The sequence below is a fragment of the Homo sapiens genome, chromosome 5, assembly GCF_000001405.40.
Source record: "Homo sapiens chromosome 5, GRCh38.p14 Primary Assembly".
Lineage (NCBI taxonomy): Eukaryota > Metazoa > Chordata > Mammalia > Primates > Hominidae > Homo > Homo sapiens.
The window spans coordinates 130,893,478-130,908,364 of record NC_000005.10 but is presented as its reverse complement, the minus strand read 5'-3'; the positions used below and the strand labels follow the sequence as shown (position 1 = coordinate 130,908,364).

Below are 14,887 nucleotides of genomic sequence, written 5' to 3'. Positions count from 1 at the left end.
TTCTTCCTTGTTTGTTGCCATTAAATGCTTGGATTTTAGTGACACAGTATAGTGCCAAATACGTCAGTGCCTAGGACTTTATGTTATACTACTTAGAAAGTTATGGCAATATCACCTCTTGCTTAAAACACTTGGTCGACACTGCCTACCAGGTTGAATATAGTGGAATACATACAATATAAGGCCATGTTGATTACCATGAGAAACAAAATAAATAATTAACTGTAAAAATAATATTAAGAATGAATTGCTTGGCAGACTATTTGATCCCATTAATGATTTCACTTTTATAAGATTAAATAAGATCCTATCATATTCTGTGGTGCTGATACTAAAAGTTCTATCCCCTCCCCCATTTTTAGCTCCCTGTCCAAAACGGAAGGCAAGTGCTTTTTTGGCATACTTTTCTTTCTTGTATTAATTACTTGACTTTTCTGTACCTAGAAAAAGGCAACTAGCAGGCAACATAATCATCCTGCTGTCATTTTCTAAATTATTCTAATGTAATTTTCAGAGCATGGCTTCCATAGATCATTTATTCATTTAGTTGCAATGCTTTTGGAAGTATAGAAGTATAGAAGTATATTTTCTTATGTGGTGTTATAACTTATAAGGACAATTTGGAAATAATAAGTTTGGATGCTTCACTAAGACATTTTGGCTATCTTTCCCTAACCATATTAGGAGCTTCATTTCAGGCATCTTTCAAATCCCTCCTCTAAACCTTTTACTTTGGGGATGGTTTCTGGATACCGTAAAAACAGTTGGCTTTTGAAGGTGGTAATTGTGGACTGCATGCTGTTTGGCAGCTACTAATTCTCTTTCTTTTTCTGTGGGCTCTAAGTGGAATGTCCTTGAAATAATAATGAGGCATTACTCTCTTTTCTACCATGTCCAGAATATTCCTGGTGATCTTAAATTGTATTATTTTTGATGCTCATACCAGAGACACCTATGTTAATTAGTTCTGTATATACTTCTTAAGTTCTCATCTCTAAAATTAAAAGAGCCAAATTATAGACATAGTGAACTTTGACTCTGAATGTGGTTGGGTTTAAATAAGTTCCTCCAAATAATAATTTGACTTTAATATATTTTCATTTGCAATCCTGTGTCACATTTTATGCCTCATGATTGGTTTCCATTTTTTAGTAATAAATAATCAACTGCAGGTTTCTTTGCGGTGTTGATATTTCCGTTTATATTACTTTGTGTATTTAAATATTTCCATAAGGCTACATCTGGCTATTTCTTACCTTGGATGATTACTTCTGCAGTTTCTGATGTCAAAATTCCTTTTTTATTTAAGAGTTAATTACAATTAAATACAGTTTTGGTCCCACCTAATATTATTTTTTTGAGGTTTTCTTTTTAGAGCTAAAGCCGCATCTTACTGCTAGATAGGAATTAGTTTCCAGAGGCTTGTACCATTATTGAGTCACTAAATATTTCTTAAACCCATCTATACTATATTTCCCTAGTCTCTTCACTCTCCCATACTCCTAGATAATAATTTCATATAAAACCTCCTCCCCCAGCACCACTCTCAGCTTTTTATTTCCCTGAGAAAATAGAAGCAATCAGAAGAGAATTTGGACAAGCTACCCACAACATCTACTCACTTCTTTGTATCTGTCCTCATATACTCTGCTTTCTTTCCTATTTGCTCTAATGAACCATTCACGTTCCCAGCAAATGCCAACATCTCCATTCTGCCGAGGTCCCTTCTTTTCTTGTGTAGTTGAAGAAATGTCTCTAGCAATTCTTTGCTCTCCCTCCCTCACTAATAAGTTTTCCCCCTCAAGTGGACTTCTCTTATTGACCTGCAAACATGCAGATACAACTTTATCTTTAAGAAAACTCTCTTTTTGACTCCACATCCTCCTCTAGCTATCATCCTGTTTCTAGCCTTTTTCAAAAACACATTTATATTCATATATTTTAAAACTAATCCTGTCAATCTGTTGTGCAGAGTTATTGTATCATTTTGCATTCCCATTAGCAGTATATGAAATTTTGAGTTGCTCTACTTTCTTGCTAATACTTGGTATTGTCAGTATCTCTTCCTCTTATTTTTTCTTTCTTCTTTTTCTCCTCCCCTTCTCTAACCCTTCCATCTTTTATTTTTTTACTTTTTTGTTTTCTTTTCCTTTTTTTTATTATTATTATATTTTAAGTTTTAGGGTACATGTGCACAATGTGCAGGTTAGTTACATATGTATAAATGTGCCATGCTGGTGCGCTGCACCCATTAACTCGTCATTTAGCATTAGGTATTTATGCAGCCAAAAGACACATGAAAAAATGCTCATCATCACTGGCCATCAGAGAAATGCAAATCAAAACCACAATGAGATACCATCTCACACCAGTTAGAATGGCAATCATTAAAAAGTCAGGAAACAACAGGTACTGGAGAGGATGTGGAGAAACAGGAACACTTTTACACTGTTGGTGGGACTGTAAACTAGTTCAACCATTGTGGAAGTCAGTGTGGCGATTCCTCAGGGATCTAGAACTAGAAATACCATTTGACCCAGCCATCCCATTACTGGGTATATACCCAAAGGACTATAAATCATGCTGCTATAAAGACACATGCACACGTATGTTTATTGTGGCACTATTCACAATAGCAAAGACTTGGAACCCAACTCAAATGTCCAACAATGATAGACTGGATTAAGAAAATGTGGCACATATACACCATGGAATACTATGCAGCCATAAAAAATGATGAGTTCATGTCCTTTGTAGGGACATGGATGAAATTGGAAATCATCATTCTCAGTAAACTATCGCAAGAACAAAAAACCAAACACCACATGTTCTCACTCATAGATGGGAATTGAACAATGAGAACACATGGACACAGGAAGGGGAACATCACACTCTGGGGACTGTTGTGGGGTGGGGGGAGGGTGGAGGGATAGCATTAGGAGAACCCTTCCATCTTTTAAATTTTAAACATTCTGTTAGGTTTATAGTGATATTTCATTGCGATTTTAATTTGTATTTCATTAATGACTAATAATGTTGAGCATCTTTCCATGTAGTTATTTGCTATCAATTTATCTTCCTTGGTGAGGTGTTTGTTAAAATCTTTTGCCCATTTTATATTGTAGCTGTTTTTCTTTGGCTAAGATTTGAGAGATTTTAATATATTTTATATAGAAGTCCCTTGTTGAATATGTTATTTGTGAATATTTTCTCCTAACTTTCAGCTTGTCTTTTCATTCTCTTAAATTTTTTTTTTTTGGCAGAGAGAAAAGTTTTAAAATTTGATAAAGCCCAATTTGTCCTTAAAAAAAGTCATGCTTTGATGTCAAATCTAAGAACTGTTTTTTAACCCAAGGTCAAGAAAATTTTCTTGTGTATAAAGTTTTATATTTTACATTTGGGCCTATGATACACTTTGGGTTAATTGTTGAACAAGTTGTGAGGTATGGGTTGAGGTTTAATTCTGCTTTTCCATACAGATGTTCAGTTGTCCCAGGATCATTTGCTGAAAGGACTATACTGTCTCCACTGAATTCTTTTGCACATTTATCAAAAGCCTATTTTGTTCATATTTGTGTAGATCTATTTTTGAATTCTCTATTCTGTTCTTTTAATCTATGTGTCTATTATTTATCCAATAACACATTGTGTTGTCTACTAGTCTGAATCCTCAAAGTTTTTTTTTTTTTTTAAATTGTTTGGGCTATTCTAATTTCCTTGTCTTTACATGTAAATTTTATAATCAGCCTTCTCTCTCCCTGTTTTTTTTTTTGTTCTTAAGTCTACATGGCTACATCCAGTCACTTTCTTTCTTTTTTTATTATACTTTAAGTTCTAGGGTACATGTGCACAACGTGCAGGTTTGTTACATAGGTATACATGTGCCATGTTGGTTTGCTGCACCCATCAACTTGTCATTTACATTAGGTATTTCTCCTGGTGCTATCCCTCCCCCAGTCCCCCACCCTCCGACAGGCCCCTGGTATGTGATGTTCCCTGCCCTGTGTCCATGTGTTCTCATTGTTCAATTCCCACCTATGAGTGAAAACGTGGTCGTTGGTTTTCGGTCCTTGTGATAGTTTGCTGGGAATGATGGTTTCCAGCTTCATCCATGTCCCTGCAAAGGACATGAACTCATCCTTTTTTATGGCTGCATATTATTCCATGGTGTATATGTGCCATATTTTCTTAATCCAGTCTATCACTGATAGACATTTTAGTGGGTTCCAAGTCTTTGCTATTGTGAATAGTGCTGCAATAAACACATATGTGCATGCGTCTTTATAGTAGCATGATTTATAATCCTTTTGGGTATATATGCAGTAATGGGATGGCTGGGTCAAATGGTATTTCTAGTTCTAGATCCTTGAGGAATCAACACACTGACTTCCACAATGGTTGAACTAGTTTACACTCCCCCAACGGTGTAAAAGTGTTCCTATTTCTCCACATCCTCTCCGGCATCTGTTGTTTCCTGACATTTTAATGATCGCCATTCTAACTGGCGTGAGATGGTATCTCACTGTGGTTTTGATTTGCATTTCTCTGATGACCAGTGATGATGAGCATTTTTTCATATGTCTGATGGCTGCATAAATGTCATCTTTTGAGAAGTGTCTGTTCATATCCTTTTCCCCTTTTTTGATGGGGTTGCTTTATTCTTGTAAATTTGTTTAAGTTCTTTATTTTATTTTATTTTATTATTATTATACTTTAAGTTTTAGGGTACATGTGCACAATGTGGAGGTTAGTTACATATTATACATGTGCTATGCTGGTGTGCTGCACCCATTAACTCGTCATTTAGCATTAGGTATATCTCCTAATGCTATCCCTCCCCCATCCGCCCACCCCACAACAGTCCCCAGAGTGTGATGTTCCCCTTCTTGTGTCCATGTGTTCTCATTGTTCAATTCCCACCTATGAGTGAGAATATGTGGTGTTTGGTTTTTTGTTCTTCAGGTAGTTTACTGAGAATGAGGATTTCCAGTTTCATCCATGTCCCTACAAAGGACATGAACTCGTCATTTTTTATGGCTGCATAGTATTCCATGGTGTATATGTGCCACATTTTCTTAATCCAGTCTATCATTGTTGGGCATTTGAGTTGGTTCCAAGTCTTTGCTATTGTGAATAGTGCCGCAATAAACATACGTGTGCAAGTGTCTTTATAGCAGCATGATTTATAGACCTTTGGGTATATACCCAGTAATGGGATGGCTCAGTCAAATGGTATTTCTAGTTCTAGATCCCTGAGGAATCACCACACTGACTTCCACAATGGTTGAACTAGTTTACAGTCCTACCAACAGTGTAAAAGTGTTCCTGTTTCTCCACATCCTCTCCAGCACCTGTTGTTTCCTGACTTTTTAATGATTGCCATTCTAACTGGTGTGAGATGGTATCTCATTGCGGTTTTGATTTGCATTTGTCTGATCGCCAGTGATGATGAGCATTTTTTCATGTGTCTTTTGGCTGCATAAATGTCTTCTTTTGAGAAGTGTCTGTTCATGTTCTTCACCCACTTTTTGACGGTGTTGATTGTCTTTTTCTTGTAAATTTGTTTGAGTTCATTGTAGATTCTGGATATTAGCCCTTTGTCAGATGAGTAGGTTGTGAAAATTTTCTCCCATTTTGTAGGTTGCCTGTTCACACTGGTGGTAGTTTCTTTTGCTGTGCAGAAGCTCTTTAGTTTAATTAGATCCCATTTGTCAATTTTGGCTTTTGTTGCCATTGCTTTTGGTGTTTTAGCATGAAGTCCTTGCCCGTGCCTATGTCCTGAATGGTAATGCCTGGGTTTTCTTCTAGGGTTTTTATGGTTTTAGGTCTAATGTTTAAGTCTTTAATCCATCTTGAATTAGTTTTTGTATAAGGTGTAAGGAAGGGATCCAGTTTCAGCTTTCTACATATGGCTAGCCAGTTTTCCCAGCACCGTTTATTAAATAGGGAATCCTTTCCCCATTTCTTGTTTTTCTCAGGTTTGTCAAAGATCAGATAGTTGTAGATATGCGGCGTTATTTCTGAGGGCCCTGTTCTGTTCCATTGGTCTATATCTCTGTTTTGGTAACAGTACCATGCTGTTTGGTTTGAAGTCAGGTAGCGTGATGCCTCCAGCTTTGTTCTTTTGGCTTAGGATTGACTTGGCGATCTGGGCTCTTTTTTGGTACCATATGAACTTGAAAGTAGTTTTTTCCAATTATGTGAAGAAAGTCATTGGTAGCTTGATGGGGATGGCATTGAATCTATAAATTACCTTGGGCGGTATGGCCATTTTCATGATATTGATTCTTCCTACCCATGAGCATAAAATGTTCTTCCATTTGTTTGTATCCTCTTTTATTTCATTGAGCAGTGGTTTGTAGTTCTCCTTGAAGAGGTCCTTCAAGTCCCTTGTAAGTTGGATTCCTAGGTATTTTATTCTTTTTGAAGCAATTGTGAATGGGAGTTCACTCATGATTTGGCTCTCTGTTTGCCTGTTATTCGTGTATAAGAATGCTTGTGATTTTTGTACATTGATTTTGTATCCTGAGACTTTGCTGAAGTTCCTTATCAGCTTAAGGAGATTTTGGGCTGAGACAATGGGGTTTTCTAGCTATACAATCATGTCATCTGCAAACAGGGACAATTTGACTTCCTCTTTTCCTAATTGAATGCCCTTTATTTCCTTCTCCTGCCTGATTGCCCTGGCCAGGACTTCCAACACTATGTTGAATAGGAGTGGTGAGAGAGGGCATCCCTGTCTTGTGCCCGTTTTCAAAGGGAATGCTTCCAGTTTTTGCCCATTCAGTATGATATTGGCTGTGGGTTTGTCACAGATAGCTCTTATTATTTTGAGATACGTCCCATCAATTCCTAATTTATTGAGAGTTTTTAGCATGAAGGGTTGTTGAATTTTGTCAAAGGCCTTTTCTGCATCTATTGAGATAATCATGTGGTTTTTGTCTTTGGTTCTGTTTATATGCTGGATTACATTTATTGATTTGCGTATATTGAACCTGCCTTGCATCCCGGGGATGAAGCCCACTTGATCATGTTGGATAAGCTTTTTGATGTGCTGCTGGATTCGGTTTGCCAGTATTTTATTGAGGATTTTTGCATCAATGTTCATCAAGGATATTGGTCTAAAATTCTCTTTTTTGGTTGTGTCTCTGCCCGGCTTTGGTATCAGGATGATGCTGGCCTCATAAAATGAGTTAGTGAGGATTCCCTCTTTTTCTATTGATTGGAATAGTTTCAGAAGGAATGGTACCAGCTCCTCCTTGTACCTCTGGTAGAATTCGTCTGTGAATCCATCTGATCCTGGACTCTTTCTGGTTGGTAAGCTACTGAGTATTGCCACAATTTCAGAGCCTGTTATTGGTCTGTTCAGAGATTCAACTTCTTCCTGGTTTAGACTTGGGAGGGTGTATGTGTCGAGGAATTTATCCATTTCTTCTAGATTTTCTAATTTGTTTGCATAGAGGTGTTTGTAGTCTTCTCTGATAGTAGTTTGTATTTCTGTGGGATTGGTGGTGATATCCCCTTTATGATTTTTTATTGTGTCTATTTGATTCTTCTCTCTTTTCTTCTTTATTAGTCTTGCTAGCAGTCTATCAATTTTGTTGATCCTTTCAAAAAACCAGCTCCTGGATTCATCAATTTTTTGAAGGGTTTTTTGTGTCTCTATTTCCTTCAGTTCTGCTCTGATTTTAGTTATTTCTTGCCTTCTGCTAGCTTTTGAATGTGTTTGCTCTTGCTTTTCTAGTTCTTTTAATTGTGATGTTAGGGTGTCAATTTTGGATCTTCCTGCTTTCTCTTGTGGGCATTTAGTGCTATAAATTTCCCTCTACACACTGCTTTGAATGTGTCCCAGAGATTCTGGTATGTTGTGTCTTTGTTCTCATTGGTTTCAAAGAACATCTTTATTTCTGCCTTCATTTCGTTATGTACCCAGTAGTCATTCAGGAGCAGGTTGTTCAGTTTCCATGTAGTTGAGCGGTTTTGAGTGGGTTCCTTAATACTGAGTTCTAGTTTGATTGCACTGTGGTCTGAGAGACAGTTTGTTATAATTTCTATTCTTTTACATTTGCTGAGGAGAGCTTTACTTCCAAGTATGTGGTCAATTTTGGGATAGGTGTGGTGTGGTGCTGAAAAAAATGTATATTCTGCTGATTTGGGGTGGAGAATTCTGTAGATGTCTATTAGGTCTGCTTGGTGCAGCGCTGAGTTCAATTCCTGAGTATCCTTGTTAACTTTCTATCTCGTTGATCTATCTAATGTTGACAGTGGGGTGTTAAAGTCTCCCATTATTATTGTGTGGGAGTCTAAGTCTCTTTGTATGTCACTCAGGACTTGCTTTATGAATCTGGGTGCTCCTGTATTGGGTGCATGTATATTTATTATCCTTAGCTCTTCTTGTTGAATTGATCCCTTTACCATTATGTAATGGCCTTCTTTGTCTCTTTTGATCTTTGTTGGTTTAAAGTCTGTTTTATCAGAGACTAGGATTGCAACCCCTGCCTTTTTTTGTTTTCCATTTTCTTGGTAGATCTTCCTCCATCCTTTTATTTTGAGCCTATGTGTGTCTCTGCATGTGAGATGGGTTTCCTGAATACAGCACACTGATGGATCTTGACTTTTTATCCAATTTGCCAGTCTGTGTCTTTTAATTGAAGCATTTAGTCCATTTACATTTAAAGTTAATATTGTTTTGTGTGAATTTGATCCTGTCATTGTGATGTTAGCTGGTTATTTTGCTCGTTAGTTGATGCAGTTTCTTCCTAGCCTTGATGGTCTTTACAATTTGGCATGATTTTGCAGTGGCTGGTACTTGTTTTTCCTTTCCATGTTTAGTGCTTCCTTCAGACGCTCTTTTAGGCAGGCCTGGTGGTGACAAAATCTCTCAGCATTTTCTTGTCTGTAAAGTATTTTATTTCTCCTTCACTTATGAAGCTTAGTTTGGCTGGATATGAAATTCTGGGTTGAAAATTCTTTTCTTTAAGAATGTTGAATATTGGCCCCCACTCTCTTCTGGCTTGTAGAGTTTCTGCCGAGAGATCCGCTGTTAGTCTGATGGGCTTCCCTTTGTGGGTAACCCGGCCTTTCTCTCTGGCTGCCCTTAATATTTTTTCCTCCATTTCAACTTTGGTGAATCTGACAATTATGTGTCTTGGAGTTGCTCTTCTCGAGGAGTATCTTTGTGGCGTTCTCTGTATTTCCTGAATCTGAATATTGGCCTGCCTTGCTAGATTGGGGAAGTTCTCCTGGATAATATCCTGCAGAGTGTTTTCCAACTTGGTTCCATTCTCCCCGTCACTTTCAGGTACACCAATCAGACGTAGATTTGGTCTTTTCACATGGTCCCATATTTCTTGGAGGCTTTGTTCGTTTCTTTTTATTCCTTTTTTCTCTAAACTTCCCTTCTCGCTTCATTTCATTCATTTCATCTTCCATCACTCATACCCTTTCTTCCAGTTGATCGCATCGGCTCCTGAGGCTTCTGCATTCTTCGGGTAGTTCTTGAGCCTTGGCTTTCAGCTCCATCAGCTCCTTTAAGCACTTCTCTCTATTGGTTATTCTAGTTATACGTTCTTCTAAATTTTTTTCAAAGTTTTCAACTTCTTTGCCTTTGGTTTGAATGTCCTCCCGTAGCTCGGAGTAATTTGATCATCTGAAGCCTTCTACTCTCAGCTCGTCAAAGTGATTCTCCGTCCAGCTTTGTTTCGTTGCTGGTGAGGAACTGCATTCCTTTGGAGGAGGAGAGGCACTCTGCTTTTTAGAGTTTCCAGTTTTTCTGCTCTGTTTTTTCCCCATCTTTGTGGTTTTATCTACTTTTGGTCTTTTTTGGGTGAGGTAACGATGGGTTTTTGGTGTGGATGTCCTTTCTGTTTGTTAGTTTTCCTTCTAACTGACAGGACCCTCAGCTGCAGGTCTGTTGGAGTTTGCTAGAGGTCCACTCCAGACCCTGTTTGCCTGGGTATCAGCAGCAGTGGATGCAGAACAGCGGATTTTCGTGAACCGCAAATGCTGCTGTCTGATCATTCCTCTGGAAGTTTTGTCTCAGAGGAGTACCCGGCCGTGTGAGGTGTCAGTCTGCCCCTACTGGGGGGTGCCTCCCAGTTAGGCTGCTTGGGGGTCAGGGATCAGGGACCCATTTGAGGAAGCAGTCTGCCCGTTCTCAGTTCTCCAGCTGCGTGCTGGGAGAACCACTGCTCTCTTCAAAGCTGTCAGACAGGGACATTTAAGTCTGCAGAGGTTACTGCTGTCTTTTTGTTTGTCTGTGCCCTGCCCCCAGAGGTGGAGCCTACAGAGGCAGGCAGGCCTCCTTGAGCGTCGTGGGCTCCACCCAGTACGAGCTTCCAGGCTGCTTTGTTTACCTAAGCAAGCCTGGGCAATGGCGGGCGCCCCTCCCCCAGCCTTGCTGCCGCCTTGCAGTTTGATCTCAGACTGCTGTGCTAGCAATCAGCAAGACTCCGTGGGCGTAGGACTCTCTGAGCCAGGTGCGGGAGATAATCTCCTGGTGCGCCATTTTTTAAGCCCTTCGGAAAATCGCAGTATTAGGGTGGAGTGACCCGATTTTCCAGGTGCCGTCTGTCACCCCTTTCTTTGACTCAGAAAGGGAACTCCCTGACCCCTTGCACTTCCCGAGTGAGGCAGTGCCTCGCCCTGGTTCGGCTCGTGCATGGTGGGCTGCACCCACTGTCTGGCACTCCCTAATGACATGAACTCGGTACCTCAGCTGGAAATGCAGAAATCACCCGTCTTCTGCGTCACTCATGCTGGGAGCTGTAGACCGGAGCTGTTCCTGTTCGGCCATCTTCTGTTTAAGTTCTTGGTAGATTCTGGATATTAGCTCTTTGTCAGATGGGTAAATTGCAAAAATTTTCTCCCGTTCTGTAGATTGCCTGTTTACTCTGATGATAGTTTATTTTGCTGCACAGAAGCTCTTTAGTTTAATTCGATCCTATTTGTCTGTTTTGGCTTTTGTTGCCATTGCTTTTGGTGTTTTATTCATGAAGTCTTTGCCCATGCCTATGTGCTGAATGGTATTGCCTAGGTTTTCTTCTAGGGTTTTTATGGTGTTAGGTCTTACATTTAAGTCTTTAATCAATCTTGAGTTAATTTTTGTATATGGTGTAGGAAGGGATCCAGTTTCAGCTTTCTCTATGTGGCTAGCCAGTTTTCCCAGCACCATTTATTAAATAGGGAATCCTCTCCCCATTCCTTGTTTTTGTCAGGTTTGTCAAATTTGCTCACTTTCTTTGGTTATTGTTTGCATGATATCTCTTTTCCCATCCTTTTACTTTTTTGTTTCCTCTGTTATTTCTATTCTTTGATTGGCTCATTCATTGAATTTTTCATTTTTAGTTGTTGTGTTTTATTTTTCTTTCATTTCCAGGATATTCGCCTTTATTTCACCTTTTTGTGGATTTAATTGAACATTTTATATGATTCAGTTTTCTCTCCTCTATTAGCATATCAGATATATATATATATGTATGTATATTTCCTTATATGGTTGCGCTGGAGTTTGCAATATGCATTTCCAACTAATCCAAGTCTACTTTCAGATAGCACTGTACTGCTTTAGGGATAGTGTGAGTACTTAACAATAACAAAATAATCTTGATCCCTCTCTTATATCATTGCTATTATTCATTTTACTTACACATAAACATACATAATCACACACACAGACATAATCAAATACATCACTGCTATTGTTATTTTGAACAAATAATTATCCTTTAGATCAATCAAGAATAAGAAAAATAAAAGTGTTTTACCTCTACTTATTCTTCTCCTATGCTCTTGTTTGCTTTATGTAAATCTAAGTTTCTTGTCTTTATCAGTTTTCATCTCTCTAAAGAATTTCTTTTGACATTTATTGCAAGGCAGGTCTACTGGCAACAAACTCCATATTTTGTTGTCTGAAAAAGTATTTATTTTTCCTTCATTTTTTTTCTGGAACTTAGTGGAATTTTTTTTATTATTATAGTTTAAGTTCTAGGGTACATGTGCACAATGTGCAGGTTCGTTACATAGGTATACATGTGCCATGTTGGTTTGCTGCACCCATTAATTTGTCATTTACATTAGGTATTTCTCCTAATGCTATCCCTCCCCCAGTCCCCCACCCCATGACAGGCCCTGGTGTGTGGTGTTCCCCGCCCTATGTCCATGTGTTCTCGTTGTTCAATTCCCACCTATGAGTGAGAACATGGGGAGTTTGGTTTTCTGTCCTTGTGATAATTTGCTCAGAATGATGATTTCTGGCTTCATCCATGTCCCTGCAAAGGACATGAACTCATCTTTTTTTATGGCCGCATAGTATTCCATGTTGTTTATGTGCCACATTTTCTTAATCCAGTCTATCATTGATGGACATTTGGGTTGGTTCCAAGTCTTTGCTATTGTGAATAGTGCCACAGTAAACATACATGTGCATGTGTCTTTATAGTAGCATGATTTATAATCCTTTGGGTATATACCCAGTAATGGGATGGCTGGGTCAAATGGTATTTCTATTTCTAGATCCTTGAGGAATTGCCACACTGTCTTCCACAATGGTTGAACTAGTTTACAGTCCCACCAACAGTGTAAAAGCATTCCCACCAACAGTGTAAAAGGATCTCCATATCCTCTCCAGCATCTGTTGTTTCTTGACTTTTTAATGATCGCCATTCTAATTTTACCATTATGTAATGGCCTTCTTTGTTTCTTTGTCTCTTTTGATCTTTGTTGGTTTAAAGTCTGTTTTATCAGAGACTAGGATTGTAACCCCTGCTTTTTTTTGCTTTTCATTTGCTTAGTAGAACTTCCTCCATCCCTTTATTTTGAGCCTATGTGTGTCTCTGCATGTGAGATGGGTCTCCTGAATGCAGCACACTGATGGGTCTTGACTCTTTCTTTATCCAATGTGCCAGTCTGTGTCTTTTAATTGGAGCATTTAGCCCATTTACATTTACGGTTAATATTGTCATTTGTGAATTTGATCCTGTCATTATGATATTAGCTGGTTATTTTGCCTGTTAGTTGATGCAGTTTCTTCCTAGCATCGATGGTCTTGACAATTTGGCATGTTTTTGCAGTGGCTGGTACCCGTTGTTCCTTTCCATGTTTAGTGCTTCCTTCAGTAGCTCTTGTAAGGCAGGCCTGGTGGTGACAAAATCTCTCAGCATTTGCTTGTCTGTAAAGGATTTTATTTCTCTTTCACTTATGAAGCTTAGTTTGGCTGGATATGAAATTCTGGGTTGAAAATTCTTTTCTTTAAGAATGTTGAATATTAGCCCCTACTCTATTCTGGCTTGGAGAGTTTCTGCTGAGAGATCTGCTGTTAGTCTGATGGGCTTCACTTTGTGGGTAAGGCAAGCTTTCTCTCTGGCTGCCCTTAACATTTTTTTCCTTCATTTCAACCTTGGTGAATTTGACAAGTATGTGTCTTGGGATTGCTCTTCTTGAGGTCTATCTTTGTGGCATTCTCTGTATTTTCTGAATTTGAATGTTGGCTTGCCTTGCTAAGTTGGGGGAGTTCTTCTGGATAATATCCTGATCTTGGATAATATCCTGAAGAGTGTTGTCCAACTTGGTTCCATTCTCCCTGTCACTTTCAGGAACACCAATCAAACAGAGATTTGGTCTTTTCACATAGTCCCATGTTTCTTCTCATTTCTTCTTACTCTTTTTTTCTCTATTGTTCTCTTCTTGCTTCATTTCATTCATTTGATCTTCAATCACTGATACCCTTTTTTCCACTTGATTGAATTGGCTATTGAAGCTTGTGCATGTGTCACGTAGTTCTCATGCCGTGGTTTTCAGCTCTATCAGGTCATTTAAGGTCTTCTCTGCACTGTTTATTCTAGTTAGCCATTCATCTAATCTTTTTTCAAGGTTTTTAGCTTCCTTGTGATGGGTTCGAACATCCTTCTTTGGCTCAGAGAACTTTGTTATTACCGACCTTCCGAAGCCTACTTCATCAGCTTGTAAAAGTCATTCTCCATCCAGCTTTGTTCTGTTGCTGGCGAGGAGCTGCAATCCTTTGGAGGAGAAGTGGCACTCTGGTGTTTAGAATTTTCAGCTTTTCTGCTCTGGTTTCTCCCCATCTTTGTGGTTTCATCTACCTTTGTTCTTTGATGTTGGTGACTTACCGATGGGATTTTGTTGTGGATGTCCTTTTTGTTGATGTTGATGCTATTTTTTTCTGTTTGTTAGTTTTCCTTCTAACAGTCAGGTCCCTCAGCTGCAGGTCTGTTGGAGATGGCTGGAGGTCTACTCCAGACACTGTTTGCCTGGGTATCACCAGCAGAGGCTGCAGAAGAGCAAATATTGCAGAACAGCAAATATCACTGCCTGATCCTTCCTCTAGAAGCTTCGTCCCAGAGGGGCACCCGCCTGCATGAGGTGTCAGTTGGCCCCTACTGGGAGATGTCTCCCAGTTAGGCTACACGTGGGTCAGGGACCCACTTGAGGAGGCAGTCCGTCCATTCTCTGAGCTCAAACACCTTGCTTTTTCTTCAAGTTTTTATCCTATGTACTTTTCTTCTCCTTTTTCATTTCTTTTGCTACTTTCTAATATGTAAGTATTGAAGAGACTTAGGATTGAGTCCTTGTTTCTTTTATTTTTCTTACCTAACATTCATTCCCAATGTCATCTTACTTCATATCATGGATTTAAACAAGAACTATTAATACATACACTAATAGTTCCTCAAATTATATCTCTAAAATCTTGTGCTTTTCTGAAATCTAGACTCATAACAACTACCTACTTATCATTGCTACATGGATGTCAGACTTAACTTGTTTAATATGGAACTCTTCACCTTCCTTCCCAAACTGAGTTTTCATTTAATTTTAGCAAACAGCATCTTTGTTTTGCTTGTTGTTTAGGTCAAAATTCTTAGAAGTA

The 14,887-nt window shown here is 38.8% G+C and overlaps 1 annotated feature.

Annotated features, from left to right (window-relative positions):
* Positions 10,039-10,575: an enhancer, noted in NCBI's record as "H3K27ac hESC enhancer chr5:130233483-130234019 (GRCh37/hg19 assembly coordinates)". NCBI's record gives its function as "activates a minimal SCP1, AML or CMV promoter by ChIP-STARR-seq in naive H9 embryonic stem cells {active_cell/tissue: H9 hESC(naive)}" and the evidence as "EXISTENCE:reporter gene assay evidence [ECO:0000049][PMID:30033119]".